Genomic DNA, 27,483 nt, shown 5'->3' on the forward strand with positions numbered 1-27,483 from the left:
CCTGTCTTTAAAAGGTTCTTCCAAACATGCTTCTCAGTGAAGGCCTGACTGGCCTTTGGGAAAGGGTAGTCAATGGGGCAGGACCTTCCTGGGCAGGTGGGGCCATCACATGTCAGCCAGTAACCCCGGTTGTGAGTACCAGTGCCAGGGACACTGCCAGTCACTGTGATTGTTAAATGTCTACCAACACGTCGGGAAGGAAGTACTCCCCCCCAGATGAGACCCCTGACCCCTTACTTGCAGGAAGGATGGAACCTGAGAATTGACAATCACCACAATGAATGACCATTAAATGAGCACCATGCAGGCCATGGCATAGCACCCAGGAACAGGCAGGTGGGGCTTCAAAGGCCACTGAAAGGTACAGAAGAACTGCATTAAAAATGGCAAGACCTGGTGGAATCCAAAAGAATCAGCTAAAACAAAACAAAACAAAACAACCAAAAACAAGACCACTTGTGGTTCCAATGAGCTATGATTGCACCAGTGCGCTCCGGCCTGGGCAACAGAGTTAGACCCTGTCTCAGAAAAAAAAAGAAAAAAAAAAAAAGACTCAGGAGACAACTTGATTGGTTCCTACTGACCAAAGAAATCAATTACAGTAATAACTGCAATGAACTAAAATCAATAAATTATATTTAAATCCACAAATTCATAATAATATATTTTTTAGAAAAGTTATATAGCCCTCAGGAGAAGTGGTTGGTTCTAGAGCTGGGCCAGCCAAAATAGATGAGCCTGGAACAGCCCATGTAGTCAGAGAGTAAGGGAGAGTTCAGAAAGAAGAAAGCCTGGGGCCTGTGAAGGACAGGACAGCCAGCTTGAAAGAGCTCCCAAAAGCCACAGCCTGGAACAGTGTGAGCAAAAGGATCAATTACATTAATATCCACTGATCATCCCCAGAATAAAACAAATTTCCAGTAGACTACAATGACATCAGTCATGGAGTATACAAATCAATAAGAAAGAAAAACAGCTGTTCTAAGAATTCTAGTTCATCAATAGAGAAGGAATAGGGGGAAAGAAAATCCCTATTAGACCACACTACAATAATTACTACAGACTTCATGGAAATAGAAAGGATTACAAGTGCATACCAAGTGCATATGACAACAAATTATGTGACTCAAAGAAATGGACAACTTCCTAGAAAGATACAACTATCACAACTGACTTGAGAAGAAATAGTAAATCTGAAAGGAGTCATAACAAGTAAATGGGTTGCAATAGTAATCTTTACAACTCCGCACAAAGAAAAGCCCAGGCTCAGACTGAAGTTGTCTTCCATGTTGAATTCTTCCAAGGATTTAATGAAGGATTAATACCAAATCTTCACAAAATCTTCCAAAAAAGAAAACAGGCCGGGCGCAGTGGCTCACGCTTGTAATCCCAGCACTTTGGGAGGCCAAGGAGGATGGATCATCTGAAGTCAGGAGTTCGAGGCCAGCCTCATCAACATGGTGAAACCCAGTCTCTACTAGAAAAATACAAAAATTAGCCAGGCATTGTGATGCCTGCCTGTAATCCCAGCTATTCGGAGGCTGAGGCAGGAGAATCGCTTGAACCTGGGAGGCGGAGGTTGCAGTGAGCTGAGATCGCCCCATTGCACTCCAGCCTGGGCAACAAGAGTGAAACTCCGTCTCACAAAAAAAAAAAAAAAACAGAAAAAAAGAAAATAGTGGAAACATGGAAACACTCCCCAACTCATTCTATGAGACCAGTATAGTACTTTTCTGATATCAAAACCAGACAAAGACACACATACGGCCCCCAATCCCAAATATTGCATATGAATTCAAATGCAAAATTCTCCAACACATTCTAGTCAATGGTATCCAGCAAAATATAACAATGGATTGTACACCATGACCAAGTAAGTTTTATCCCAGGAATGCAAGATTGGTTTAACATTTGAAAATCAATTAATGAGTATATGTCATATTAATTGAACTACACATAAAAGCTACATGATCATTTCAACAGACGTAGAAAAAGCCTTTGACAAAATCCAAAATTCTTTCTTGATGCAAAAACACTCAACAAAGTAGGAACAAAAGGGAAATTCCTCAACCTGATAAAGAGCATCTATAAAACCCCACAGCTTGAAATCTCAGTATTGGTTAAAACACACACACACACACACACACACACACACACATACATGCAAACAGCTAGCATCATACTTAATGGCAAAAAAGCATGCGTTCCCCCTAAGATCAGGAGCAAGAGAAGGACATCCATTTTTGCCATTTCTATTCAACATTATACTGGAGCTTCTAGCCAGGGCAATCAGGCAAGAAAAAGAAATGTAAGGTATCAAGTTGAAAGGGAATAAGTAAAACTATCTCTGCTTACTGATGAATGGTTCTATATGGAAAAGACTAAGGAAGCCACAAAACAATTATTAGATATAATAAGTGAGTCAGCCAGGTGGCAGGACACAAGATCAACATGTAAACATACTGACCAAAACTTATTAATGCATTAATGGAAAACTGTTTAGATCTAAATAAAGAATGTGACTTAGTGAATAGCTTTGTACTAATGTTATTTTCTTGGTTTTTGAAAATTATAGTGCAGTTAAATGTTAAAATTAAAAGAAGGTGGGTAAGGGGTATGCATCTGTACTATTTTTGCAACTTCTCTGTTAAGTCTAAAATGATTTCAAAGTAAAAAGCTTAAGAATTTTAGAAAGCTAACTGGTTACTGATATGGGTTGGCTCTCTGTCCCCACCCAAATCTCACCTTGAATTGTAATAATCCCCACGTGTCAAGGGCAGGACCAGGTTGAGGTAACTGAATCATGGAGGCGGTTTCCTCCATGCTGTTCTCGTGCTAATGAGTGAGTCTCACGAGATCTGATGGTTTTACAAGCGTCTGGCATTTCCCCTGCTTGCACTCATTCTCTCTCCTGCTACCTTGTAAAGAGGTGCCTTCTGTCATTATTGTAAGTTTCCTGAGGCCTCCCCAGCCATGCAGAACTGTGAGTCAATTAAACCTGTTTTCTTTATAAATTACCCAGTCTTGGGTATTTCTTCATAGCAGCCTGAGAATGGACTAATAGAGTTAGCGTTAGATGTTAGTGATCCAATATCAAGCACTTATTTCTCTTTTACTATACAGGCTGGACCACTGGGAAACCAGGGAGTAGATGAGGGGAAGTGTCTCTTTATAAAAGTATTTCCTATAATAAATTAGGACACCACCATTTGGCAACCTCTAACAAATCAATGGATATAGGCAATGATCATCAATGGCTGTCAACATCACAAAAAGACAAGTAAGCACACGTGTCTCCTAATGGAAGTGCAGAACACCACCTAGGAATGTGGAGACCAAAACAACGACAACAACAACAACAACAACAAAAATTCAAACCTGAGCCTGATGAAACACTGAGGAAGTGTGCAGACCCTCCTACCAATCCACAGGAATTACAATAGAAAAAAAACATGTTACCTGAAACCACACAGAAGTAATCAGCAGTATTCAGGCCCTGGAAAACCCCATAGGACAAATAACCCAATTTCTTCAAAATAAATTGCAAGGGAAAAAAAGAAAGAGAATAGAGTTTTCTGGGGGAAAATCTATAGACTAAAAGTGACTTAAAAGATTTATCAGCCACCTGCTGAGTAGGCCTCATTTATAGCTAATTCAAGCATACATATTGAAAAGTACACATCCCATTTATGAGATAAGTGGAAATCTGAACACACACTGGGTATTTAACAGTATTAGGAAATTAGGCTGGGCACACTGGCTCAGGCTTGTCATCCCAGCACTTTGGGAGGTCAAGGAAGGAAGACAGCTGGAGCCCAGGAGTTGGAGACCAGCCTGGGCAACATAGTGAGACCTTATCTCTATGAAATTTTTAAGAAAAATTAGCCAGGTGTGGTGGCGTGCACCCGTGGTCCCAGCTACTCAGGAGGCTGAGGCAGGAGGATCACTTGAGGCCAAGAGATGGAAGCTGCAGTGAACCGTGATCATGCCACTGTACTCCAGCCTAGGCAACAGGGCAAGACTCTGTCTTAAAAAATAATAATTTTTTTTAGGTATGATAATGGTATTTATAGTTTAGTTTTAAGAAGAGTCATGCTTTTCTAAAGACAAATACTGACACATTTACAGGTGAAACGTCATGATGTCTGGAGTTTGCATCAGAATGACAGAGGAGAAGGGAGTAGGTGGGAATACAGATAAAATAATGTTAGCCATGAGTTGCTAATTGTTGAAACTGGACAATGGTACATGGCAGTTTGTCACATGTGCACATTTCTATGTATGTGAAATTTTCTAGAATAATTATTTTAAAGAGGCCTGTTGTTCTTGGGGTGGGAATACCAAGTAAGGTAATAACTGTGAACACGGGGTCAGAGCAGGGTAGATCTGGGCTCAAATCACGGTACTGCCATCTCCTAACAGTGTGACCTTAGGCAAGCTATTGAGTCTTGAAGCCTCAGTTTCCTCATCTGTGGAATGGGGATGTGGAAATGATATGATCGTTGGGAGGATAAAATGGAATTGTGCATATAGAACATTTGGCTCATATTAACAAGTAAAAAAGGAACTGCCTCATGAACAAGCCTGCCTTTGGATGACAACCAAGGTTTTAGGAAAAGAAACGTTCTTTTTCCACTGCAACTTGACCTCATGAGCCCAGTAATATATGATATGTAACAGGTACCGAAAAATTATTTCCAACAAACATGTGAATGGCAATGTGGAAATAATATTCCGCAAGCGTCCAGTGCCCTAACCTACCTACAGGGATGTCAACCCTGCTTAAGAAGAACTGGCGTGGTCCCTGCGCATTCTTAACTCCTGGGTCTTGTCCTGGTGTCTCTGCTTTTGCAAACCTTTTACCCAAATGACAGAGATGCTGTGCTTCCCAGGGGAAAGATGTGTTGACTGCTGTCTTGTTGCATTAAGAGGGAGGGATGGAGGGAATATGCCATGAAAGAGCCAAGGGTGCCACAGAGGAAGAGATGAGGCTCACCTGGAAGGGAAGGGAAAGAGGCACGGAGAAGGAGTAGGAGAGGGGAGACAAGAGAAACAAAAGCCCTGGCAGAAAAGAAAACAAAAGGAGGACTTTGTTGAGTGAGAAGCTCACCTTCTCATCTGCTCAGCTCTTCCAAAACAACAAAGCATGAAGGGCAGGGGACACGGGTTGGAGAAATAACCCTGGTGGGCTGGGAAAATGGAGCGAAAATCAAAGTGAGGGGAAGAGACCAAAAGTAGGGCAATTCCAAAATAAGCAGAGAGCACCTCCTGACTACCTGTTTCCCAAAAGATGACGGAAAGACACTGAGATGCTGCCCTCAGACCCAAGCACAGAGCCCAGAAGATTCAGGGAAAAGTCGCCTCCGGTTATTTCCTGCAGAAATACTGCTGGTTACATCATCCTGGAGACAGACACTGAAAGGTGTCAATAAGATTATATTCAAGTCATCACAAAGTACATAGAAGCAAAAGGGAGAAAAAAAAAAGATAACAATAGCCTAGGCAGGCTTTGGGGGACAGATGAAATCACTGGCCCAGGTCCTCCTCCAGCAGCACCCTTGCAAGGCACACTCCATTTCTGGGAGCAGGGCTCCAGGTCTGCTGATTTAAGGTTTCCCCCCTCACCCCTGCTGTGGAAGAGGTGGATGAGAAAGCTTTCTGCAAGGCACAAAGTCTTCTTCTGATAGGAGATCTCTGCTTCCTGCCTGCAGAACTGCCCGCCACTCTCCCAGCCTGGGCTGAGTCCCTTTGCCCTTCTCTTCCCCTCTCCTCCTCCAGCCCTGCCCAGCAGGACCCCTGAGGTTGCTCTGCTGCCCCCTCAGCTCTCGGCCCCGAGGGATGCCCACCCTGTTCCAGCTGGACACTCAGTGTTGGAGACCGATGTCAGCTAAAGGGAAGTCCAAGCCTCAAATGAAAGCCGGAGGCCACATCCCCCTCGACTCTCACCAGGGCTCACTGAGTGGCAGGGTCTCAAGCGCAGGCAGCCCCTTTCTTCCCACCCGGGGCTGTGGGAAGATGGCTTCTCTGAACAGCCTTAGCCAGCACCGAGGTCCATATGATCAGAGGGGCTTCCCACACCCTCCCATCACAGTGGACCACAGCTTAGTGACGCTGGGTGGGTGGCCCTTCCCCCCTGCAGGCGCCACAGGCAGGACCTAACCCCCCCAGAATCACCCAGTGCTCCCCCAACCTGCTGAGCGTGGCTCAAGAGGGTTTTCCTAAATAGCGTGTGAAATCCATTAGGAGAAAATGGGTTCAGAAGGAGGAAACAGGACTGCTTCTCAAACACCCTGGCCTAGGAAGCTACATTTCTAACAGGCTCTAAGGGGATTCTCACAGAAAGGGGCCCAAGGATGGTGTCACTGAAAAACAGCACATAAATAATAACATAAACGATGACGCACTACAGGCTGCACATCCACATACAAGGGAATGTCCCAGAAGTCACTTCTGGGACAGTGGCAGCAGGTAAGACTTCCAGCTAAAGTCTGCTCATACTCTGCGTGAACAATGTGTTGCACGCTTGGACCGACACTCCTATGCACAGCAGCTAGAGCAGCAACACTTGGAGGAAGCGCCACACAAAACAGACCTAGACAGTTCACAGTCGTGCGTCTGGTCTTCTCTGCAGTCAACCAAACGCACTGCACAGACCTTGGCCTGACACAGAAGTCATTTCCTTGGCTGCTCTGTGCTGTCTGGGTGCCAGGTCCTGAGAGCCAGGGCTTCATGTCGATGCTTCACCCCAGTGTACCCTAGAACCTGTTCTCAACCTCTGTGCCATGACCCTGTCCACCCCCCGCCCCCGATCTCTCACTGCAGCACCCACTCTCTGCCCCACCTTGCTTGGCACCATTTTCCTGATCCTCACACCACCGTCCCAGACTCTTGTCCTGCACTGGGACGCCTCGCCAGACATGGAGCCTGCATCCCGGGGCTGGGAGCCCCACCCAGGACTTCACCTGGTAGACATGCCCTATGGTGCCATCTGTCCCTACAGTAAACTCTGGGTGAAACCAGCCTCCTCCTCCTTCTATTCCCAGGGCCTGGCACCACCTCTTCCAGCCTTTCTGGGACTGGAAGAATTTGACCTGCCTTCCCAGGGAACAATAAACAGAAGTAGGGCATTGCGCCCACTGTCCTCAAGGCAGCTGGGAAGTGAATGAAAAATGCTGACAGTTCCTTCAGTAAGGAAGAAGACAGAGTCTGAGGGAGAGTTAAGATATCTGGAGTCAAGGGCAGAGTGGAAGGGGAGGGGAACGTAGATGGGTGTAGTCCAAATGGAAGCTAAAGTTTCAAAGTCCCATGAAGCCTTACAAGGTCACAGAGACAAGAGAATAGCTTTTAGATCCCAACCTCAGTTTCCTCATCGGCAAGATGGGTGTGATAGTTACTATAAGGATCGAATGACATAATGGATTCAAAGCACTTTGCCAACTGAAAATAAACTGTATTTCTCCTGAGGCATAAGTATTTCTAAAAAGGAGGCTACAGGAGTTACGGGCTCAGTAATAACAGGAAGTGGTATCTGTGCAAAGGCTTAAAACTGTTGAGCCCCACCAGGGCTATGTGGTGGAGGCCTCGCTCAGGGGACACGGAGGCCATTTGTGTAAGGGGTGCCGCTCTTGTCCCTGCTCAGGCTTCTGGTGAACAGGGGCCAGGAAATCCCACAGCCCGGTCTAATGACAGTCACTCTTGCTGACTGGCCAAAGAGCAAGGCTTGGGAGCAGGCAGAGTGGTGTTTCTGAAAGTGTGGGCCATCATATAAGAGTTACGTGCACGCTAATCTAATACATTCCTGGGCTCAATCCCAGGCCTGCTGAGTGAGACACTTTGGAAAACTGTAATTTTAACAAGCGCCTTCAGTGACTCTTACAAAAGTTTCAGAAGCACGAGCAAAGAAATATTCAAAAAGCTGTGCGGGCGGGAAGACCTGGGTCAAATCCCAGTACCACGACCTTGCTGCTGTGTGACACTGGGCAGGTTTACTTAACCTCTCTGAACCCGTTTACTCTGTTTACAAAAATATGGAGCATAACCACTGCAGTGTTGCTGGGAGGGTGAAAGGTACTCAACTACAGAGGCACGCATCCATGGCTTCATCCAAGCTATGAGTGCCTGTGTCTAAGGCATTCGTGAATGCCTACGTTTAAGAGGCAGGAGCCACTCTGACCCTCCTCTTTTAGGGGAACAATCTGCCACTAAGAGAGCATAGGGCTTCCTAGAGTCTCCCCATGCATAATGGAAGCCAGATACCGCTAATGTTCTATTCAGAAGCCCATCTCAGTCCCTGTTCCGGGGTCAAGCAAGGTGAGGCAGGAGGTAACGATGGGCTGAGCTTTGGAGGAAAGCTAAGACGACCCACCTTTCTCAGGGACAGGGCCTTGAGGTGGTCCAGGCTGCTGGACACAGCTCCAAGATGGATCTACCAAGGGGCTCTCCTGGGGTGGAGAGCATAAAGGATGAAAAGGCCGCAGGCCTCTGGACAGGTCCGCCGGAGACTCTAAAACTCAGGGAGGGAAAAAGAGCAGGAGTGGTCCATCGCAGGGTCACCCCTGGTACTGCCCGTGGCAGGGCTCACAAACACCCCACAGCCTCTTTCCCCCAGGAAGCAGGTTAAGATGAAGAAAATTAGGCAGGCAGCTACCGGGCGGTGCCTGGCTCGCGGCTCATGGCTCACAGTGGAGGATGGACACTGCTGTTATTTCCCCTGCCCTGGTACCTGGGCCGTGCCAGACATATCAGCACTTGGCGGCAGTTTCACTTTGCTGCTGTCCTGAGCCGAGCTGTTAGCAGACTGAGCTTTACTGTCCTGTGCCGGCTGTTCAGAGACCACTGTGCCTGGCCGAAGACTGAGGCAGGGACTTCAGGCCAGGGGGCCAGGCTGGCTTTTCCTGCCTTTCACTTCAGGTGGGAGCGGCTGTGGATGAGGATGTCCAGCGGCCGTCGGTTTCTAGCCTTGGGATCATTCTGGCCCCGACACGGAGTGACAGGGGATCCCCACGCGTCCCCGCATCCAGGGCGCCCCTTTAGCTGCGGCGGAGGCACAGAGAGGCCTTGGCGGCGCTGTGGCTTCGGTCGGCACCGGGTCCCGCGCAGCCGGGCCCTCCACCCTGAGTGGAGCTGCCTTCTAAGCACCCAGCCCCTGCCAATCACTGTGCCCAACACCAAGTTCCCGGGGCGCCCTGCCCTGCGCCACCGCGCGCTCGCTCGCCCGCCCGCCCAACTCACCTGCTGAAGACCAGGCAGCCCAGGTGGTTGATCTTGTGGTCGGAGCGGTGGCGGCTGTAGTCCTCCCACAGGTCCCTGAAGGCCGTGATGGCCAGGATGAAGAGCACCGGCGCCAGTGCCAGGCCGGGCTGGAAGGCGTTCACCGCCGGCACGAAGTTGAGCAGCGCGATGAAGACAAAGTACACGTTGGCCGGGCGGTGGAACTGCTCGAACAGGTTCTTGGGCAGGAAGGACAGCAGCGTGTACTTGGTAGTCTTGAGCCGGTTGTCGGCCAGGTGCTGGGCACACCCGCGCCGCCGTCGCCGCTCGCCCTTGGCCGCGCCAGCCGCAGGGTCCTCGGCGCCCGGGGGCGGCAGCAGGTTGGAGCGCACCGTGCGCGTCCTGCCCTCTCGGCGCCTCCGCCGTCCCGGAGGCCCGGGCTCCTCGGTCCCCGCCGGCTCCCGCTCCATGGCCGCGTGTCGCCGCGCCCGGCTCCTCCGCCGCTCACGCCCGCCCGCGCCGGCCTCTTAGGTTATCATCACTCGCGGCCCGGGCGCGGCGGTGCGAGCTCCCCGCCTGCGGGACGCACGGAGACCGCGGTCAGCGCGCCGCCTGGCCGGCCCAGCGCGCCCAGCCCGCGCCCAGCCCCGTCCACTCCCGTCCAGCCCCGCCGCCCGGCCGCAGTCCCCAGGGCGCAAGCTGGGCGGGTGCCGCACAGAGCCCCCTTGTCCTCGCCGCCCGCCCCCGGCCCGGGTCGTTTCCGCCGCGGTGGCCACGGCCCCGCCCTCGTTCCGCGCCCGGACTGGGCCACGCCGGATAGCGGGAAACAAAAAAAGCCCGAGCTGGAAACTTCAGAGAGGTTTAGTTTCGTTTCCCAGAAGCATCAGTTCGGTCCCAAAACGCTGCAAACGCGCGCTGCCTGCAGTAGGAGAGAGGAAACCGCGAAGCGCGAGAAAAGGCGCCCCCGTCCCCAAGCAGCCCGCGCGCCCTTCCAGGGGCCAGACCTGCTCCATCCTGGACGGCGAAACGACCTCGGGAGACCCCGGTTAGGACCTTACTCCAGGGATCAACTGGAATCAAAATCCAAAGGATCCATGGCATCCAGTGCTCCAATTTTTAAGTCTTTTTTACGCAGGACCTCTGCTCCTGGGGAGCCCTGGGAAGGGCGATTCCGCGTTGCCTCTAAGAACTTCTTTCCTACCCCACTTCCCAGCCCCCACCACTTTCAGATTCCGTTGTTGGGCGAACTAGACCGTTTCCTTTCCACCATCATCATTACTGCCTTTCCTTCCTCTCCTAAATAAATTCTTTTTCTTTTTTCTGTTCTTTCTTCATGGAAAGGAGAAATATATCGCTATAGCAAAGACAGAATTTGGTTTGCAGGTATTTGAGTGTCTGTTTCCCTCCCTGGGAAATCATGAGGACCGAAACGCTCCTTGTGCGCTGTAGCTCTGAGGTGGCTGTCATGGCCCGGACGGCGGGGGAGGCGAGGATGGTTGTGGGGAGGCGAGGATGGTTGTGGGGAGGAGAGGGGAGCGTCAGGAGGGTGTCCCAGAAGTGTGGGGCGAAGGGCTCCCCTCCACATCATGGGGCATCCGAGAAGGGGTGGGAGAATAAGCACGGCATGGAAAAAGGAGCTGGGAGTCCCCCACGTCCGCAGTGAGACCCCACAGATGTTTCATGGCTGTGACTGTTTGCCTCCCACTCAAGAAGTACAGAGATGAGAAGCAGTTATTTCTTGCCCAGGAGGCCGTGGCTGGGCGGTTGGCCGTGGCCCCAGGCTCTTCCTGGGGGTGCCTGCTAACAAGGCACTGCCCTGGATGGACTCAAATCACGTCTTCGCCAGGACCCTGGCTTGGGGAGGCCCTCCCCTCCAGCACCCTGGCTTACCCGGCTCCAGTTATGACATTCTTACATCTCTGCCCAGTTTTGCCACCATCCACAATGTTGCCCAGAACCCAGTGTTAGAAGGTAGAGTGGTGACAGGTGTGAAGAAAATAATCCCATCCCCCAGTCACAGGGGTGGGCTTTTGACATGTAGAGGCCCAGATCAGGGAAAGGTTTGGCTGAAGTCTGCATTGTTGGGGAAAGGAGTCAGGTCTCACAGTCAACCAGCAGAAACCCAAACGGAGCATCAACTGCAAATGAAGGCCCACAGCGCCTGCAGTCTTGAGGCCTCACATCCCATGGCTCCGTGTTTTCCTCTACCAGCCCACCTGGTGACCCCCGAGGCCTTCGGCCTCCCTACACTTCGGCCTCCTGTCTTCACAGGCATCCCCGTGGACCCTTCGCCCAAAGTCTCCAGGGGTGTCCGCGCCTACCAGACTCCCAGCTTCAGCCAGTCCACACTGTTGCCAAAGTAATTACCGCCTCATTCCATTTGCTTACCCTGGAGCTTCCAGGAGTACTCCTGGTGCTTACAAAGCCAAATGCTGATTCCTCAGGCAGAGGTCCCTTGAGGCCCTGAGGGGAACCAGCTTGCTGATTTTCTTCAGCCCCTCCCTGGTTCAGGCCCAGCCCCAAGGTGAGAGGTCTCCTTATCCTTCTCAGAACAGTCCTTACTCATCCCATCCACATTCCGCTCTAAGGTTCCAAGATTCTGTGAGTCACAATGCTCCTCAAGTCTGGAATCTTTTTCCACCTGCTCTTCCCCAGTGCAAAGTCAGGATTTCCAGGAAGGCCTAGCTCAGCTCACCTCTGGAAAGGTCTCCAAGCTGTGTGATCTGGGGAATCGTGGAGGGGTTTTGAGCTCAGGTGTCTTCTGCCAGCTGGACTCTGAGACCCTGGCCTGCTGGGGCGAGGATGAGGCTCTGATGTGGTCTGGTCAACTCTGGGTTGGCCATCTGCACCACAGGGCTCTAACAAGGGCCTGCTATAGGCCATGAGAACCACTGTAAGTGTCCTTGTTCGGCAAATACTTACTCATCCCCTGCTGTATGCCCGGCAATGTTCCAGGCACAGGAATTCATCGGAGAGCTAGAGAGGACAAGATGTTGTCATGGAGCTGCAGCAACTGAACGAAAAACCATGAGAGCCCACGGAGGGCTTTGGAAGGGATGAGGGATGGCCTTTTCGAAGAGAGGCACTGGAGTTGAAACCTGAATGGGACAAGATCAGGTGGAAGAGGCTTCCAGACAGAGGGGGCAGCTCTGTCAAAAGGTCCCAAAGAAGGAGAAATCTCAATGTGTTTAAGAAACAGGTGGGGCTTCTGCCTCACACTCATTCTAAAACCTTCAACCCCACAGCTTCTGCTTTAGGCAATGGGGACACCTGGGAAACACAGTAAGTTTCTGCTCCCCGGAACACTAAGTCCTCACGTGGGAATCCCAACAAAGATGGCTCAGAAAATGAAGGGACACCTGAAACCAGGGCTGGGAGGGGTGGGATCCTGCTCTTGCTCCTGTCAATTGGGCGGTCCAAGGAGGCTTCTCAAGCAACACTGAGCGGAGGCCTAGGGACACAAGCTGTGCAGGCACCTAGGGAAGAAATGGTAAGCACGGGGCGGGATAGGGAGCGTTCAGGGATTTCAGGCCCAGCAAGGAAGCCGGGGTAGCTGGAGCTGAGTGGGAGATTGGAGACGTGGCCGAGAGTGAGGTCATGTGGGGCCTTGTGGATCCCGGTGAGGATTTTGGCTTTTGAGCGAGAGGGAAAGCTTGGGAGGATTTTGAGAAGTGGCATCAAGTGGCTTTACCGAGGTTTCCAGAGATCACTCCTGCTGCAATGTAAATAGAATGTAGAGGGCCAGGGCAGAAGAAGGGAGACGTCGTGGCGAGCGGCCACTGCAGTGATCCTGCAAAGGTGCTGTGGCTCAGGCTGGGTGGCCATGGTGGATGTGGGACATAGCCTCCTCAGAGCATGCGGGACATGCTGTTGGAATGGTTGTGGGATGTGCAAGAGAGGAGGTGAGGGTGGCCCAACAGCTAAAAACCCAAGTTTCATCTAGTGAGTTGGGAAGACAGAAGATGAGGCAGAACTGGAGGTGCCCACCAGCCCTCAGGAGCAGGAGTCGTGCTGGCAGTGGTGATGTCAGTCTGGGGTCAAGAGCAGGTCTGGATGCAGGAGAGGGTAGCCATGAGGAGCAGCAGAGTGGCCAGCATTTAGGGCTTCACTAGCCTTTGGAAAGGACAAGTCTCTGGATTTGCTCCAACTGCAATAGGGAGCCATGGGCTGCCCCAAGCAGAGAGGCGTGAGATGAGAAGATCTTATATGCTCTTTTAATAGATAGAAAATTGATTCCGAGCAGAGTTGGAGCAGGAGAGGTGTAAATTAAGAGGTGGCTTACACCTGGCATTGGATAGACAGACATGGACAAATTGGAAGTACGTCTTCCAGGCAGAGCTAATGTGACTGGCCAACAGGTTGGATGTTTCAGTGAGAAAAATAAATGAAGTGGTTTAAGGAGAAAATGCAAGCTCAGCATAAGCCATGTTAAGTGTGAGATGGCAAGTGGGCAGTGGCGTATCGAAGACCGGACATGACAGCAAAGGTCCACACTGGTGACACAGCTGTGGGGGATGCTGGGAGACACCTGGGGGTTAGAGCTATGTGATGAGATCGCACCTAGATGCGCGAGATGCACACAGGGCATAAAAAGAGACTCTGGGTGTTACTTTCCAACTAAGAAGTATAGAGAATTGAATGAGACAATCATCAAGATTGTTTCCAGTTTTCAGATACCAAGAATCAGTACCTCTAATGGCTGGTGAAATAAATAATTATGGAATAAGTAAGAATCACAGTCTAAAACATTTTAACCTGACAGCATTGTTTAATATTTACTCTAGTGACTGCCCTTACAAATAGGCATAACAGATTCTGACATTTTTAAAATTTTTATTTTAAATATTTTTAATTTTTGGCTGGGCGTGGTGGTTCATTCCTGTAATCCCAGCACTTTAGGATACGAGGTGGGCAGGATCACTTGAGGTTAGGAGTTCAAGACCAGCCTAGACAACATGGTGAAATCTCGTCTCTACTAAAAATGCAAAAATTAGCTGGGCATGGTGATGCACACCTGTAATTCCAGCCACTTGGGAGGTCAAGGAAGGAGAATTGCTTGAACCTGGGAGGTGGAGGTTGCAGTGAGCCGAGATTGTGCCACTGCACTCCTGGGTGACAGAGCAAGACTTCATCTCAAAAATAAATAAACTATTTTTATTTTTAATTTTTAGAAAGAGACAGGGTCCCCCTATGTTGCCCAGGGTGGCCTCAAACTCCTGGGCTCAAGCAATCCTCCCACCTGGGTCCAGCCAGATTCTGAAATTTGTAATATGAAAAACCAGGCACAGATGCTACCTATTAATTAATATGGCCTCAGCATCATCCAAAAACTTCCAAAATACAGAGCTGTGAAATTTTGGACAAAAGTAATTGACTAATGATTGAGTAAGCTAAATCTATGATTATGTACATAATCCTAAAAATACAAAATTCTGGCCGGGCACAGTGACTCATGCCTGTAATCCCAGCACTTTGGGAGGTCGAGACAGGCGGATTACCTGAGGTCGGGAGTTCGAGACCCACCTGACCAACACAGAGAAACCCAATCTCCACTAAAAATACAAAATTAGCCGGGTGTGGTGGCACATGCCTGTAATCCCAGCTACTCAGGAGGCTAAGGCAAGAGAATCGCTTGAACCAGGGAGGTGGAGGTTGCAGTGAGCCGAGGTTGTACCATTGCACTCCAGCCTGGGCAACAAGAGTGAACTCCGTCAAAAAAAAAAAAATATATTCTAGAGAGAGAAGCAAAAATTTATATTTTTTATTTTTAAGCTTTTCCTTATCCCACATACCATAATTTCTAAGGAATTCATAGTTTGATATGCCTGCCTGAGATAATTTGTTCTCCGTTTTTCCAAACTAAATTTCCTTTACAAAACACATGATATTTTTCAAAAAGATAAATGTACAGTTGTGCTGGGGAGCTGGGAAAAAGTACCTTCAGAAGACGAAAAGATATCTCAGAAGATATTGAGGGATGTCAGGAATACATAAAACTGATGAACACATTAGCGGGAAAGTCTAACACATATGAGAAAACATATTGTCCACGCGCGGTGGCTCATGCCTGTAATCCCAGCACTTTGGGAGGCCGAGGCGGGCGAATCACAAGGTCAGGAGTTCCAGACCAGCGTGGCCAACATGTTGAAACCCCGTCTCTACTAAAAATACAAAAACTTAGCAGGGCGTGGTGGCGCGCGTCTGTAATCCCAGCTACTCGGGAGGCTGAGGCAGGAGAATCTCTTGAGCCTGGGAGGCGGAGGTTGCAGTGAGCTGAGATCCCGCCACTGCACTCCAGCCTGGGAGACAGTGCGAGACTCAGTCTCAAAAAAAAAAGAAAAGAAAAAAGAAAACATATTACAGAGTTAAGTAAGCAAGGACACTTTTTTTAAAAAAGTGAGTTTTTCCAGTAGATCCCTTGAGAAGGCTCAAAATCAGAGAAAGCAGGCCATTCTAGGATGAGGCGCAGGTGGGAAAATAACGAGGCCGCCATGTTGCTACATCCAGGATGCCACTGCAAGTCCCACGCTGGTTATTTCAAGTAGCTGCTCTTAAGACCGGCTGCTCCTTAAGGTTACCTGATGAGCTACTAATGCCCAAGCAATGCCCAAGCCTTGCTCCAGACTCAGTACACATGGGGACCAGGCCCCAGCACCCAGATTTTTTAAAAGCTTCTTGGGTGATTCCAATTGCAGCCAGGTTTAAGAACCTCTGGTCGATATCTGCAATGATAAGCATGAATCTATATTACAGTCAAGAGTCACTGGATTGTTTTAGAACAACTGGTAATATGAAAAAAAAAAAGCAAACTTCACCCAAGTGAGTTTCCCCTCTCTGAGGAAAAAGAGCCAATGCAGAACACAGACAATAACATTAGAAATCACCGTTATTGTCCTTAGATATCCAGAAGACCAGCCCATCTATAAAATTGCCATGGAAAGGAAGTAAATGAGGAACAGCCAAAAATTCTTGGAAGTAGAAAGCACAGCAGGTAACACATTAAAAAAAAACCCACAAAGTGGCAACATTAACAATCTAGATGGTCATATTGGGGAGAGGGTGGATCCAGAAAAATCCCTCTCACTTTTGCCTGCGCCAGTAGCAGACCAAGAAAATTGGGACAGCCCTTCAGGAGACATCTAGGAAAGATGGACAAAATGCTTACAAAAAATGTATTTTAAAGCCACAGGGAACTAACAGGGCAACTAAGATAATGAAACCAAGACCGGGCAGAAGGAAGACACCAGAGAGCTCAGCCCAGCTGGGTTGCAACTCTCCAGGCACTTCCTACACAACCCACCCAGGGCTCCACATCCCCTTCCAGCTCTATTTGAATTTGCACCGATAGGCATCCCACGTGTTAGCTGACTGCCTCTTCTCCTTCGTGGCAAGACGTTCAGCTCCACAAGGCAGGAGTCAGTGTCTGCCTCTTTCACTGCTGCAAGGTAGCCCCTGTGCCTAGAAGAGCACCGCGCAGGGTGGCTTCTTACTAAATATCCGGTAGATGAATGTTCACCTTCATTCTGTGATGGAAAAACATCAACAGAATTTTTTGAGAAGTAGGTTTTGAATATAAGCTTCTCTGTTAGTCAAATTGATATTCAACGATCCTGACAATTAAATGCATTTGCAGACAAGCAAAGACTCAGAGAGACAACACTTGTGCTTGTGTGCTGAAAGAAAAAGTATTTACCTTGATATCATGCTAACGTATTTATATAATAAACAAAATATAAATTAATAAGGAATAAGCACGTATTTCGAATAGATTAACAATCTCCGGAAGATCTTGAACGGGTCCTCAGAATCTCATCTTCCAAAACCACGCAATGGAGAATATTTGACAAAGTTTACAAAATAGTTTATTCCTCAATTTTATTTATAATGCAGTACAAAAAGATATTGAAACCCTCTCAATTTATTCTGCAAGGTTAGCAAAACCTGCTATTAAAACTGGATAGCAGAATTGCAAGGGAAAATAGTTTATTTGTAGTTTTCTTTTTTATTCTATAGTAATATTTATAGGTGTAAAGGCAAAATCTATCACTATTTGCAACTTTGTGAGGTTTTTTTTGAGACAAGATCTAGCTTTGTCACCCAGGCTGGAGTGCAGTGGAGCAATTACAGCTCACTGCAGCCTCGACCTCGTGGGCTCAAGTGGTTCTCCCATCTCAGCCCTCCAAGTAGCTGGGACTACAGGCATGCCACTATGCCCAGGTAATAAACTGTGGTTTTTATCAGGGAAGTAGTTAGTAATGAGGCTAACTATACAATAAAGATGTACAAATCAGTAAGTTACTCCTATGCAAGCAATAGCCAATTAGAAAATGCAGTAAATGAACAAAAATGGTCTCATTTTTAGAATAAAATATTTAAGGAAAAATAACAAAAACCAGTTCAAGATGTTTGCAAATAATTGTAGCAAACAACAGCAGGAGTAATATTTGGCCTGTGTAGCACATGTAACACCAGCCAGGCATGTGCTTCTCATTTTCTAGTCATTTTCTCCGCCCTCCTGGCCATTCACTGAGACAGGAGAATGTTTATCCCAATATTATAGATGAGAAGTATGTTGTCACATGACTAGTCAACTTAAAATTTTACTGAATGTGATAAAGGAAGATCTCAATAGATATAAAATATGCCATGTCCCTGATTGGAACTCTGAAAGTAACCAGTTGATCTTATACATTTTCCGAACTAATATTCCAGCTGGATTTATTTTTTCAACTCAACAAATGAACTATAAAATAGCTGTATTAGTCAGGATTCTCCAGAGAAACAGCAAGAATAGAAGATAGATATTAATAGAAAGATAGAAATAATTAGCTAGCTAGCTAGATAGATGATAGATAGATAGATAGATAGATAGATAGATAGATAGATAGATAGATGATAGATGGATAGACAGAGATGACAGGTAGATGGAGGGATAGATTAGATAGATAGATATTTAAATGGATGGATGGATAGATAGATATGATAGATGATAGATGGATGGATAGATAGAGATGATAGATGATAGATTAGATAGAGAAATGATAGATATGATAGATGGTAGATAGATGGATGGATAGAGATGATAGATGTATAGATAGATTAGATAGATATGATAGATGATGGATGGATAGAGATGATAGATGGATAGATTAGATAGATAATAGGTAGATAGATGATAGATAGATGGATAGATAGGTAGACAGATAGATGATAGATAAATAGATGGGATAGATAGGTAGATGATGATGGATAGAGATGATAGATAGATGGATAGATAGACGGATAGATGGATGGATGGATGAGAGGGGACTGACTGTGGGAATTGGCTACAAGGATTATGGAGACTGAGAAGTCCCATGATGTGCCCTCTGCAAGCTGGAGAACGAAGGGAGCCGGTGGTGTGGCTCAGTCCAAATACTGAGGTCTGAGAGCCAGGGAAGCCAAAGGTTTAACTCTCAGTCCAAGGTCAAAGGCCTGAGAACCCGGTGGGCCACAGCTGTAAATCTTGGTGTGTGAAGGCTAGAGAATCTGGAGTGCTGATGTCCAAGGCAGGAGACGATGGATGGTCCACTCCAGAAAAGAAGGTGGTTCACCTTTCCTCTGCCTTCTTGTTCTATCCAGGCCCTCGGTTGATTGGATGGTGCCTACCCACATCAGATGAGGGCAGATCTTCCTTCCTCAGTCCGTTGATTCAAATGCTAGTCTCTTCTGGAAACACTCTCACTAAACAGACCCAGAAATTGCATGAGCGTCATGGTTCATGCCTGTAATCCCAGCACTTTGGGAGGTCAAGGCAGGAGGATCACTTGAGCCCAGGAGTTTGAGACCAGCCTGGACATTTTAGCGAGACCCATCTTCACAAAAAGTAAAAAAATTAACCAGGTGTGGTGGCATGCGCCTGTGGTCCACACTAATCAGGAGGCTGAGGCGGGAGGATCACTTGAGCTCAGGAGTTTGAGGTCACAGTGAGCCACGATTGCGCCACTGCACTCGAGCCTGAGTGACAGAGTGAGACCTTATCTCAAAAATCATAAAACATAACATAACATATAAAAATAAAATAGAAATAATGCTTTTCCGGCTATGTGGATATCCCTTAATCTAGTCAAATTAACATTTAAAATTAATCTTCACAAATCTACCCCTTGTCAATTTAGCACCCATATGCATTTCCTTAAACCATCCCTTCTCCAGAAGAGGAGGTAAAGTCCTTGAGTAATGTTTACTCTTCTCCTATATCCATTTATGTATGTATGTTTGTACGTATGTTTCTAGAAACAGAGACTCACTGTGTTGCCCGTGCTGGTCTTGAACTCCTGGGCTCAAGAGATCTTCCTGTCTCAGGCTCCTATAGTGCTGGGATTACAGGCATGAGCCATTGAGCCCAGCCAATATCCCATAATTTAAATGATATTATGTAAAATTAGCAATACTTAAATATTGATATAAAGTCAAAATTTTTTTTTCTTAATAGAGATAGGGGTCTCTCTAGGTTGCCCAGGCTGGTTTCAAACTCCTGACCTCAAGCTATTCTCCTGCCTCAATCTGCCAAAGTGTTAGGATTACAGACGTGAGCCAAGGCACCTGGCTCAATATATCTTATAGTTACATGATGAGGGAATGAGAGAGGAAAGAAAACAGATATATCATTTGCTTGATATATTTATATATACACACAAACATGTTCTTTTTTTTTTTTTTTTTTTGACACAAGGACTCACACTGACGCCCAGGCTGGTGTGCAGTGGTGTGATCTCAGCTCACTGCAGTCTTGACTTCCCGGGCTTAGTACAGACTGTGTCTCACTATGTTGTGTTATACACAACAACATGGAGAAATCTTGGAAACACTATGTTGGATGTAAGTCCCGGATGACCACGTGTAGTACAATACTATTTTTGCAGAGCACTAATACTACTAGCAAGATTAAGCACAATCTTGTTAAGCATACTTATATATGTGATAAAGTAGTTTCTTGTGAAACTAAACATGTGCTTACCATACAACTCAGCAATTGTACTCTTAGGCATTCATCCTAGAGAAATTAAAACTCATTCACACAAAACTTGTATGTAAATGTTTATAGCAGCTCTATTCATAATAGTCAGAAACCGGAAACAAGTTAAATGCCTCCAAAAGGTGAAAGGATAAACAAATTATAGTGCATCCACACTGTGGTATTAACTACTCAGCAATAAAAAGACATGGTCTATTGAGGCACACAACTTGGATGGATCTTGAGAGACTTGTGCTGAGTGAAGAAAGCCAATCTCTAAAGTCTACATATCATACAATTCCATTAATGTAGCATTCTTTTTATTTTCTGTTTTTTGTTTTTTGTTTTTTGTGTTTTTTTTTTTTTGAGACAGGGTTTCGCTCTGTCGTATAGGCTGGAGTGCAGCGGAGTGATCTCAGCTCACTGCAGCCTGGACTTCCTGGGCTCAAGTGATCCTCCCACCTCAGGCTCCCAAGTGTCTGGGACTGCAGATACACACCACCATGCCCAGCTAATTTTTGTATTTTTTGTAGAGACAGGGTCTTGCCATGTTGCCCAGGGTTTTCTCAAACTCCTGGGCTCAAGTGATCTGCCTGCCTTGGCCTGTCAAAGTGCTGGGATTACAAGCATGAGCCACAGTGCCTGGCCTAATGTAGCATTCTTGAAACAGCAAAACAACAGAGATGGAGGGTAAATTAGTTGGTGGTGCCAATTTTTACAAAGGGGAGAGAGAGGGAGATGGCGGTGGCTATAAAAGGGTGGTGGAAGAGATCCCTATGATGGACTCTTTCTGTGTTGAATCAGAGTGGTGTTCACAGGAAAAATTGCACAGAACAAATATAAATACACACAAAGTACATGGTGAAATCTAAGTAAAGTTGATTATTTTATTAATTTTAATTATTAATTATTATTTAATTATATATTTATATTTTAAATAAATTTTGATATAAAATATATTTAACTATAATTATTTAAATATATCAACATTTAGTATAGTATAAATATTACTTGAAAAAATCAAGATTATTTTATTAATTTTATTAATGTTAATTTTCTCATTGTAATATATTTGTATATTCATATGCTTTATAACTAGCATATGTCTAACATATAATGTTTGTATTCCAAATGATGTATCTTAAAGGTGGGCTGCACACACACACACACACACACACACACACACACACAGAGAAACAATGTAAATTCCACTACTGAAATATAATCATGAGAGAGAGAGATCTACTCTGTCAATTAAAGATATTATTTCTGGTGGCTTTCACACAGGAATGCACACTGGGGACAAAAATAAGAACTCACCAACATTTCTGTGTGTGTGGAAATTTAGTCTGTGATGAAACGTGGAGTTTGAAATCAATGGAGTGAGGAAAGTACTGTGTAGTATATGGCATTGGAAACATAGACAATTTGGGCAGAAAAGTCAAATCCTTATTTCACATCATAAACTAAAATACAACCTAGGGGGTTTATTATTAAAACATTTTAACAAGGGGAAGTACCAGAGAAGTACGTGTTATATTTGTGTTAGAGGGGGAAGAATTTTCTAAACAAGGACAAAACCCAGAAGCCACAAACAGCAAAATGAACGACATAAAAACTTCCGATTTCTGTAGCATGAAAGCCTAACATATTATCATATTAAAGGTAAACAACATTTTAAAATTCTTTTTGCTTTTATTTCTTTTTTTTTTTTTTTTTTTTGAGGCAGGATCCTGCTCTGTTGCCCAGGCCAGGGTGCGGTGGTATAATCTCAGCTCACGGCAGCCTCAGCCTCCTGGGTTCAACTGAAAAGGATAGGTGTGGTCACGTGTTAGGCCCCATTTGTGGGATATGAACAAAGTGTGTAGAATACACTCCTATATTTTTCACTAGGGCTGCTGTACAAAGCACCACCAACTAGATGGCATGAACAGAAATGAGGTGTCTCACAGGTCTGGAGGCCGAAAGTCTGAAATCCAGGTGCCAGCAGAGTTGGCCGGTTCTGAGGACCGGGAGGGAGACTCTGTTCTCGGTCTCTCCCCTGGCTTCTGCGGTTTGCTGCTCATCTTTGGCATTTCTTGTCTTGCAGAGACATCACTGCAATAGCTTCTCCTATGGTCACATGACATTCTCTCTCTGTGTGTGTGTGTGTGCGTGTGTGTGTCCACGTTCCCCCTTTTTGTAAGGACACCAGTCACATTGGATTAGGGCCCACCTGCTCCAGCATGACCTCATTGTAACTTAATGAATTACATCTGCAACAGCCCTATTTCCAAATAAAGTCACATTCTAAGATACTTGGGGTTAGGACTTCAACATATAAATTTGAGAAGGACATAGATGAATCCATAGTAATCCCTAAGAAGCAAGACTGATTAAGTCATTCATTGAGTCACTGTTGCTATGACCAGCTACAGGAGGATAGCAAGACAAGGAAGAAAAAAGGGACATTCAATTTTATCTTATAGAATAATCAAATCATATTTGGACCAATAATATATTATTAGATGTATAAGACAGATGGAGACAGAGAAAAAGGGCGATAGCAAGAGAGAGCAATTTGCTATTATATTTTACTGAAGAAGGAATTAAGAGAGGAAAGTGATTACTGCTGAGGAGAGAGAAGGTCCACTCTCCCGAAAAAGGCCTGAGTCCTCCAATGATTGTTCTAAAGCTCAACTCATTCATGAAAATAACTATTTCACAAACAGTACCACGAAGCACCCACTATGTGCCATGCTCTGTAGTAACAATCAGGAGTGCAAGGATGCAGAGTCAGTGCTACTTCAGGTGTGGTCTGCAGACGGCTCGTGCACTGCCTGTTAGGAAAGACACTCTCAGGGAAGGAAGCAAGGAAGCAGTGTGTTTGCTTTATGTTCTGAGAAGTTCCTTATCTTGTTGCAGACAAGCAACAAACAGTGGTGGATATGCTGCTTCAGTCGTGCTAAACAGGGCTGTGTCTCTGCCCTCTGGAGACATGTTGAGCGGAGGAGACACTTGTATTATGACAAAACATCACCCTCCCCAGCCACATTCAAGTGTTAAGTCTGAAATTTTTCCTTCACACCCTCTGTTGCTCCTCTAGGTGTCAAGGAGCCCATCTCCATTTTAGAAAGACAGAGATGCGTTCTGGGCCGTTGCCCGGGAAAGAATGTCTACCAGGACAGTTCTGAGAAGGCTCAGCATCATATCTAAACACAGGAAAGGAATTCCCTGTTGGAAAATTCAGGATGACAACTGTGGGTAGCAAGCCAAGGCAAAGGGCAGAACGTGGAGCAGCATTTGAGGCTCCAGCCAATTCCAGCCTGTCTGCAGGCACTGCCTGCCTCCACGGCTGTCAGGTGTCGCCCCCAGGAGCTACGTAGGGCGAAGCTAGGCAGGCTTTCAGTGCCAGCTGTGGTTTCCCCAACAGCTCACAGGCCAGAGGCCCCGCCCAGGCCACCTCCTCCAGTCCCCCTGCCGCGGGGTGGTCTTCGGTGGTCTCACTCTCCCTCCCACTGCATTTCCATCTCTGCTGTAATATACCACCTCAGCCCTTCCTTTTTGATTCCCAAGAGCAAATTTTGGAAATAAAGCAACCTGAAAACATGCTGTTGCTCATTTTATGCCTCCTATATCCGTTCTCTCCCAAATGACTAATAGAAAGCTCCAGTCACCAAGATCAACTTCTCTAAATCCTACCTCCTTCCGCTTGTAAACACCAAGTGCCCCTATGTGATACCATGGCACCAAGTGCCATGACAGAAACCTCTGCAGGGCTCTGGAAGTCAAAGAACTGTTAATACTACCCAGAGAGGGCTGGGTGCAGTGGCTCACGCCTGTAATGCCAGCACTTTGGGAGGCCGAGGCGGGTGGATCACTAGGTCAGGAGATCGAGACCATCCTGGCTAACATGGTGAAACCTCATCTCTACTAAAAATACAAAAAATTAGCCGGGCATGGTGGCGGGCGCCTGTAGTCCCAGCTACGAGGGAGGCTGAGACAGGATAATGGTGTGAACCTGGGAGGCGGAGCTTGCAGTGAGCCAAGATGGCGCCACTGCACTCCGGCCTGGGCGACAGAGCGAGACTCCATCTCAAAAAAGAAAAAAAAAAAAAAATCTACCTGGAGAGAGGTAGTCAAGAGGCCATCCTTGACTGGGTCGTGAAAGGAGAGTAGGAGCTTGTCACACAGAAACAAGAAGGAGGCGCAGCAGAGAGAGTGGTGGAAGCAAAGAATAAGATCACCAAGTATTTTCGCAAGAGTTTCAGTATGTCTGGAATTTAGGTGTGGTAAGGAATAAGTACAGACGGAGGCAGTGGGCCAGGTAAAAGAGGCTCTTATTTGAGTTATATCAGTGTGTTAGTTCTGTATCCTAGATGTGGTGAGGCATTGCATGATTCTACCAACTTCCTTCGGTCTTCAGCTACCCAAACATAATTTTACACATATTATCTGACAAGTTCTAGATCCTAAACGCTTTCCCCATCTGGCTGCAGATAATCTAGACATGAAACATGTTTGCCTCATTAGAGGCAGTTAGAATAAAGAGAAATGGCTTCCACACCACAAAGGCAACTTTGAGCGTGGGTGCAGTGGCTCATGCCTGTAATCCCAACATTTTGGGAGGCTGAGGCAGGAGGATCACTTGAGTCCAGGAATTCAAAACCAGCCTGGGCAATAGAGTGAGAACCTGTATCTACAAAAAAATTTTTAAAAAGCAAAGAGATTAGCTAGGCATGGTGGCACACATCTGTAGTCCAGCTACTTAGGCTGAGGCAGGAGAATTGCTTGAGCCCAGGAGTTGGAGGCTGCAGTGAGCTATGATCATGCCACTCCACTCCACTCCAGCCTGGGCAACAGAGCAAGAGTCTGTCTCTAAAAGAAAAAAGCAACTTTGAGTAAAAGTAATGCACATACATTACATACTTTAGCTACCCATGTAGAAAACTGGATATTTCATGTTCTTTTCCTTTCTCTGTAGTTATGATCTTCTGGCTTGGTTGAAACTTTAACTTTTTTTTAAAATAAAACTTGGGTTACAAAGGATCATAAATCATTCTGCCATAAAGACACATGCACACGTATGTTTACTGCAGCACTATTTACAATAGCAAAGACTTGGAACCAACTGAAATGCCCATTAATGATAGACTGGATAAAGAAAATGTGACACATATACACCATGGAATACTATGCAGCAATAAAAACAAATGAGTTCATATCCTTCACAGGGACATGGATGAAGCTGGAAACCATCATTCTCAGCAAACTAACACAGGAACAGAAAACCAAACACAGCATGTTCTCACTCATGAATGGGAGTTGAACAATGAGAATACATGGACACAGGGAGGGGAATGTCACACACCAGGGCCTGTTGTGGGGTGGGGGGAAGGAGGAGGGAGAGTAAAAGGACGAATACCTAATGCATGCGGGACTTAAAACCTAGATGATGGGTTGACAGGTGCAGCAAACCACCATGGCACATGTATACCTACATAACAAACCTGCACATTCTGCACATGTATCCCAGAACTTAAAGTAAAAAACAAACAAACAAACAAAACAAAAACAAAAACAAAAAAAACCTTAGGTTATATTTCCAGTAGAATTGAGAGGGTATTTTTTGTTTATTTTCTTTTTTGTATGTTTTTTGAGACAGAGTCTTACTCACCCAGGCTGGAGTGCAATGGCACGATCTCAGCTCACTGCAATCTCCACCTCCTGGGTTCAAGCAATTCTCCTGCCTCAGCTTCCCAAGTAGCTGAGATTACAGGCAGAATTGAGAGTTTTAGTTCAAAAAAGTGAAAGTTTAAATTTAGCATTTTTATTATTAGAATGATGGCTCTGGCAAGTGCAATAATTTATAAACTCCAAGCAAATGAGAGTGCTGCAGAAGACAAAAATATAAAAATATAGGTACAGATTGGAGTAAAGCATGCATTTTTAAACTGTTTCTTTTATTAACGTCACACATCTATTTCTCAGCTGTGTCTGCCAAATGCATTTAGATCCTAGCATCCAGGGACTCTGCTGGCGTGGTGGAAGGTAGCGTAGCAGCATTGTCAGCAGAAGACCTTTCCATGGCTCCGCTTTCCTCAAAATGAATTTTTTGAAAACCAAGCTACTTAAAAATCTGTTTCCTTACTTTACATTTGTTGAAGTTTCTTTGTTTGTTTTAAAGGTTGGACAACATGTTGTAAAATATAACCTGTATATGATGATGTTTATAAATCATTAAAGTACAAATTTAAAAAGAAAATGAAACTCTTGGCAATTTACTTTCATTTCTTGCCATATGATGGAGTCACTGATACCAGACTAACCTTTCCACCATCAACAACTATAAATATGGGCAAAATAGGTGAGGAGTTTTGTTGTTTTGAGACAGGATTTCACTCCGTAGCTCGGGCTGGAGTTCAGTGGTTACGATCATAGCTCACTGCAGCCTTGACCTCTGGGGCTCAAGCAATCCTCCCACCTCAGCTTCCAGAGTAGCTGGGACTACAGGTATGTGCTGCATACCCACCTAATTTAGTTATTTACTTTATAGAGAGGAGTCCTCACTATGCTGCTCAGGCTGGTCTCCTGGCCTCAAGCAATCCTCCTGTCTCAGCCTCCCAAAGTGTTGGGATTACAGGCATGAGCCACGGTGTCCAGCCAAGGTAATTGTTTCTGAGCACCAGGCAATAGCAAGATTGAACTGTGATCCCTGAAAGAGGAAGAGAGTGTAGGGTGGGCACCAAAATTGCCTCTGTTTGCCACCTGAGGGCATTTTCCAAACTGCAGCTGGAGATGGGAGGAAGTGGAATCCACCCAGAGCATGACTGATGGTCTCACCATGTAATAGAGGCCTTGCTTGAAGCTCAGGGTGGCTTAGGCAGCTGCAATTTGAAGGACAGGGTATCAGAAAGAATGGGGAACTGTGCAGAGAAGGAGTTTAAAAGTCTGCACAGTGTCTGCTTAAGTCTTTGGCTAGATACTAAGCTATGCTTCTGCGTTGGTCAATTGCAAGGCCTGGCAGTGAGCAGCTGCTAGATTGAATGGAAATTCCAGAGACTGTGTAGTGCTTGGAGTGCTGGGAGACACAGGAGTTCTGCCTCACCAGAAACAGAATGGTGAACACTCTGAGTATTCAAGTGAGACCACAGCAAGGCCATGTCTGAGGGACAGGACTACATCAGTCAGAGTAAGGGCTATTCAGCCAGGGGCGATGGCTCACGCCTGTAATCCCAGCACTTTGGGAGGCCAAAGTGGATGGATCACCTGAGGTCAGGAGTTTGAGACCAGCCTGG

At 46.3% G+C, this 27,483-nt stretch overlaps 1 protein-coding gene and 1 long non-coding RNA gene across 9 annotated transcripts in view; one reads left to right on the plus strand and one right to left on the minus strand.

Annotated features, from left to right (window-relative positions):
- ATP10A (ATPase phospholipid transporting 10A (putative)) overlaps positions 1–11,672 on the minus strand; it is a 192,852-nt gene extending 181,180 nt beyond the window's left edge. For 3 of the 8 annotated variants that reach the window (XR_001751368.2, XM_011521828.3, NM_024490.4), the window contains exon 1: positions 9,232–9,911. Coding sequence is in view for 4 of the 8 variants with exons in the window: in XM_011521828.3 (XP_011520130.1) it covers positions 9,232–9,680 (449 nt within the window). In the remaining 4 variants the exon portion in view is untranslated. Of the gene's footprint in view, positions 1–8,365; positions 8,894–9,231; positions 9,912–10,214; positions 10,558–11,598 lie in introns of those variants that run through there. The other 5 variants (XM_005268261.5, XM_011521826.3, XM_047432891.1 and 2 more) reach the window with 5 other exon arrangements.
- On the plus strand, positions 11,854–23,794 carry ATP10A-DT (ATP10A divergent transcript). Its single transcript, NR_183988.1, has 2 exons — positions 11,854–12,492; positions 23,292–23,794. It is a non-coding gene; the product is annotated as an ATP10A divergent transcript (long non-coding RNA).
- Positions 23,795–27,483: the final 3,689 nt, after the last annotated feature.

This window comes from Homo sapiens, chromosome 15, assembly GCF_000001405.40.
Source record: "Homo sapiens chromosome 15, GRCh38.p14 Primary Assembly".
NCBI classification, from domain to species: domain Eukaryota; kingdom Metazoa; phylum Chordata; class Mammalia; order Primates; family Hominidae; genus Homo; species Homo sapiens.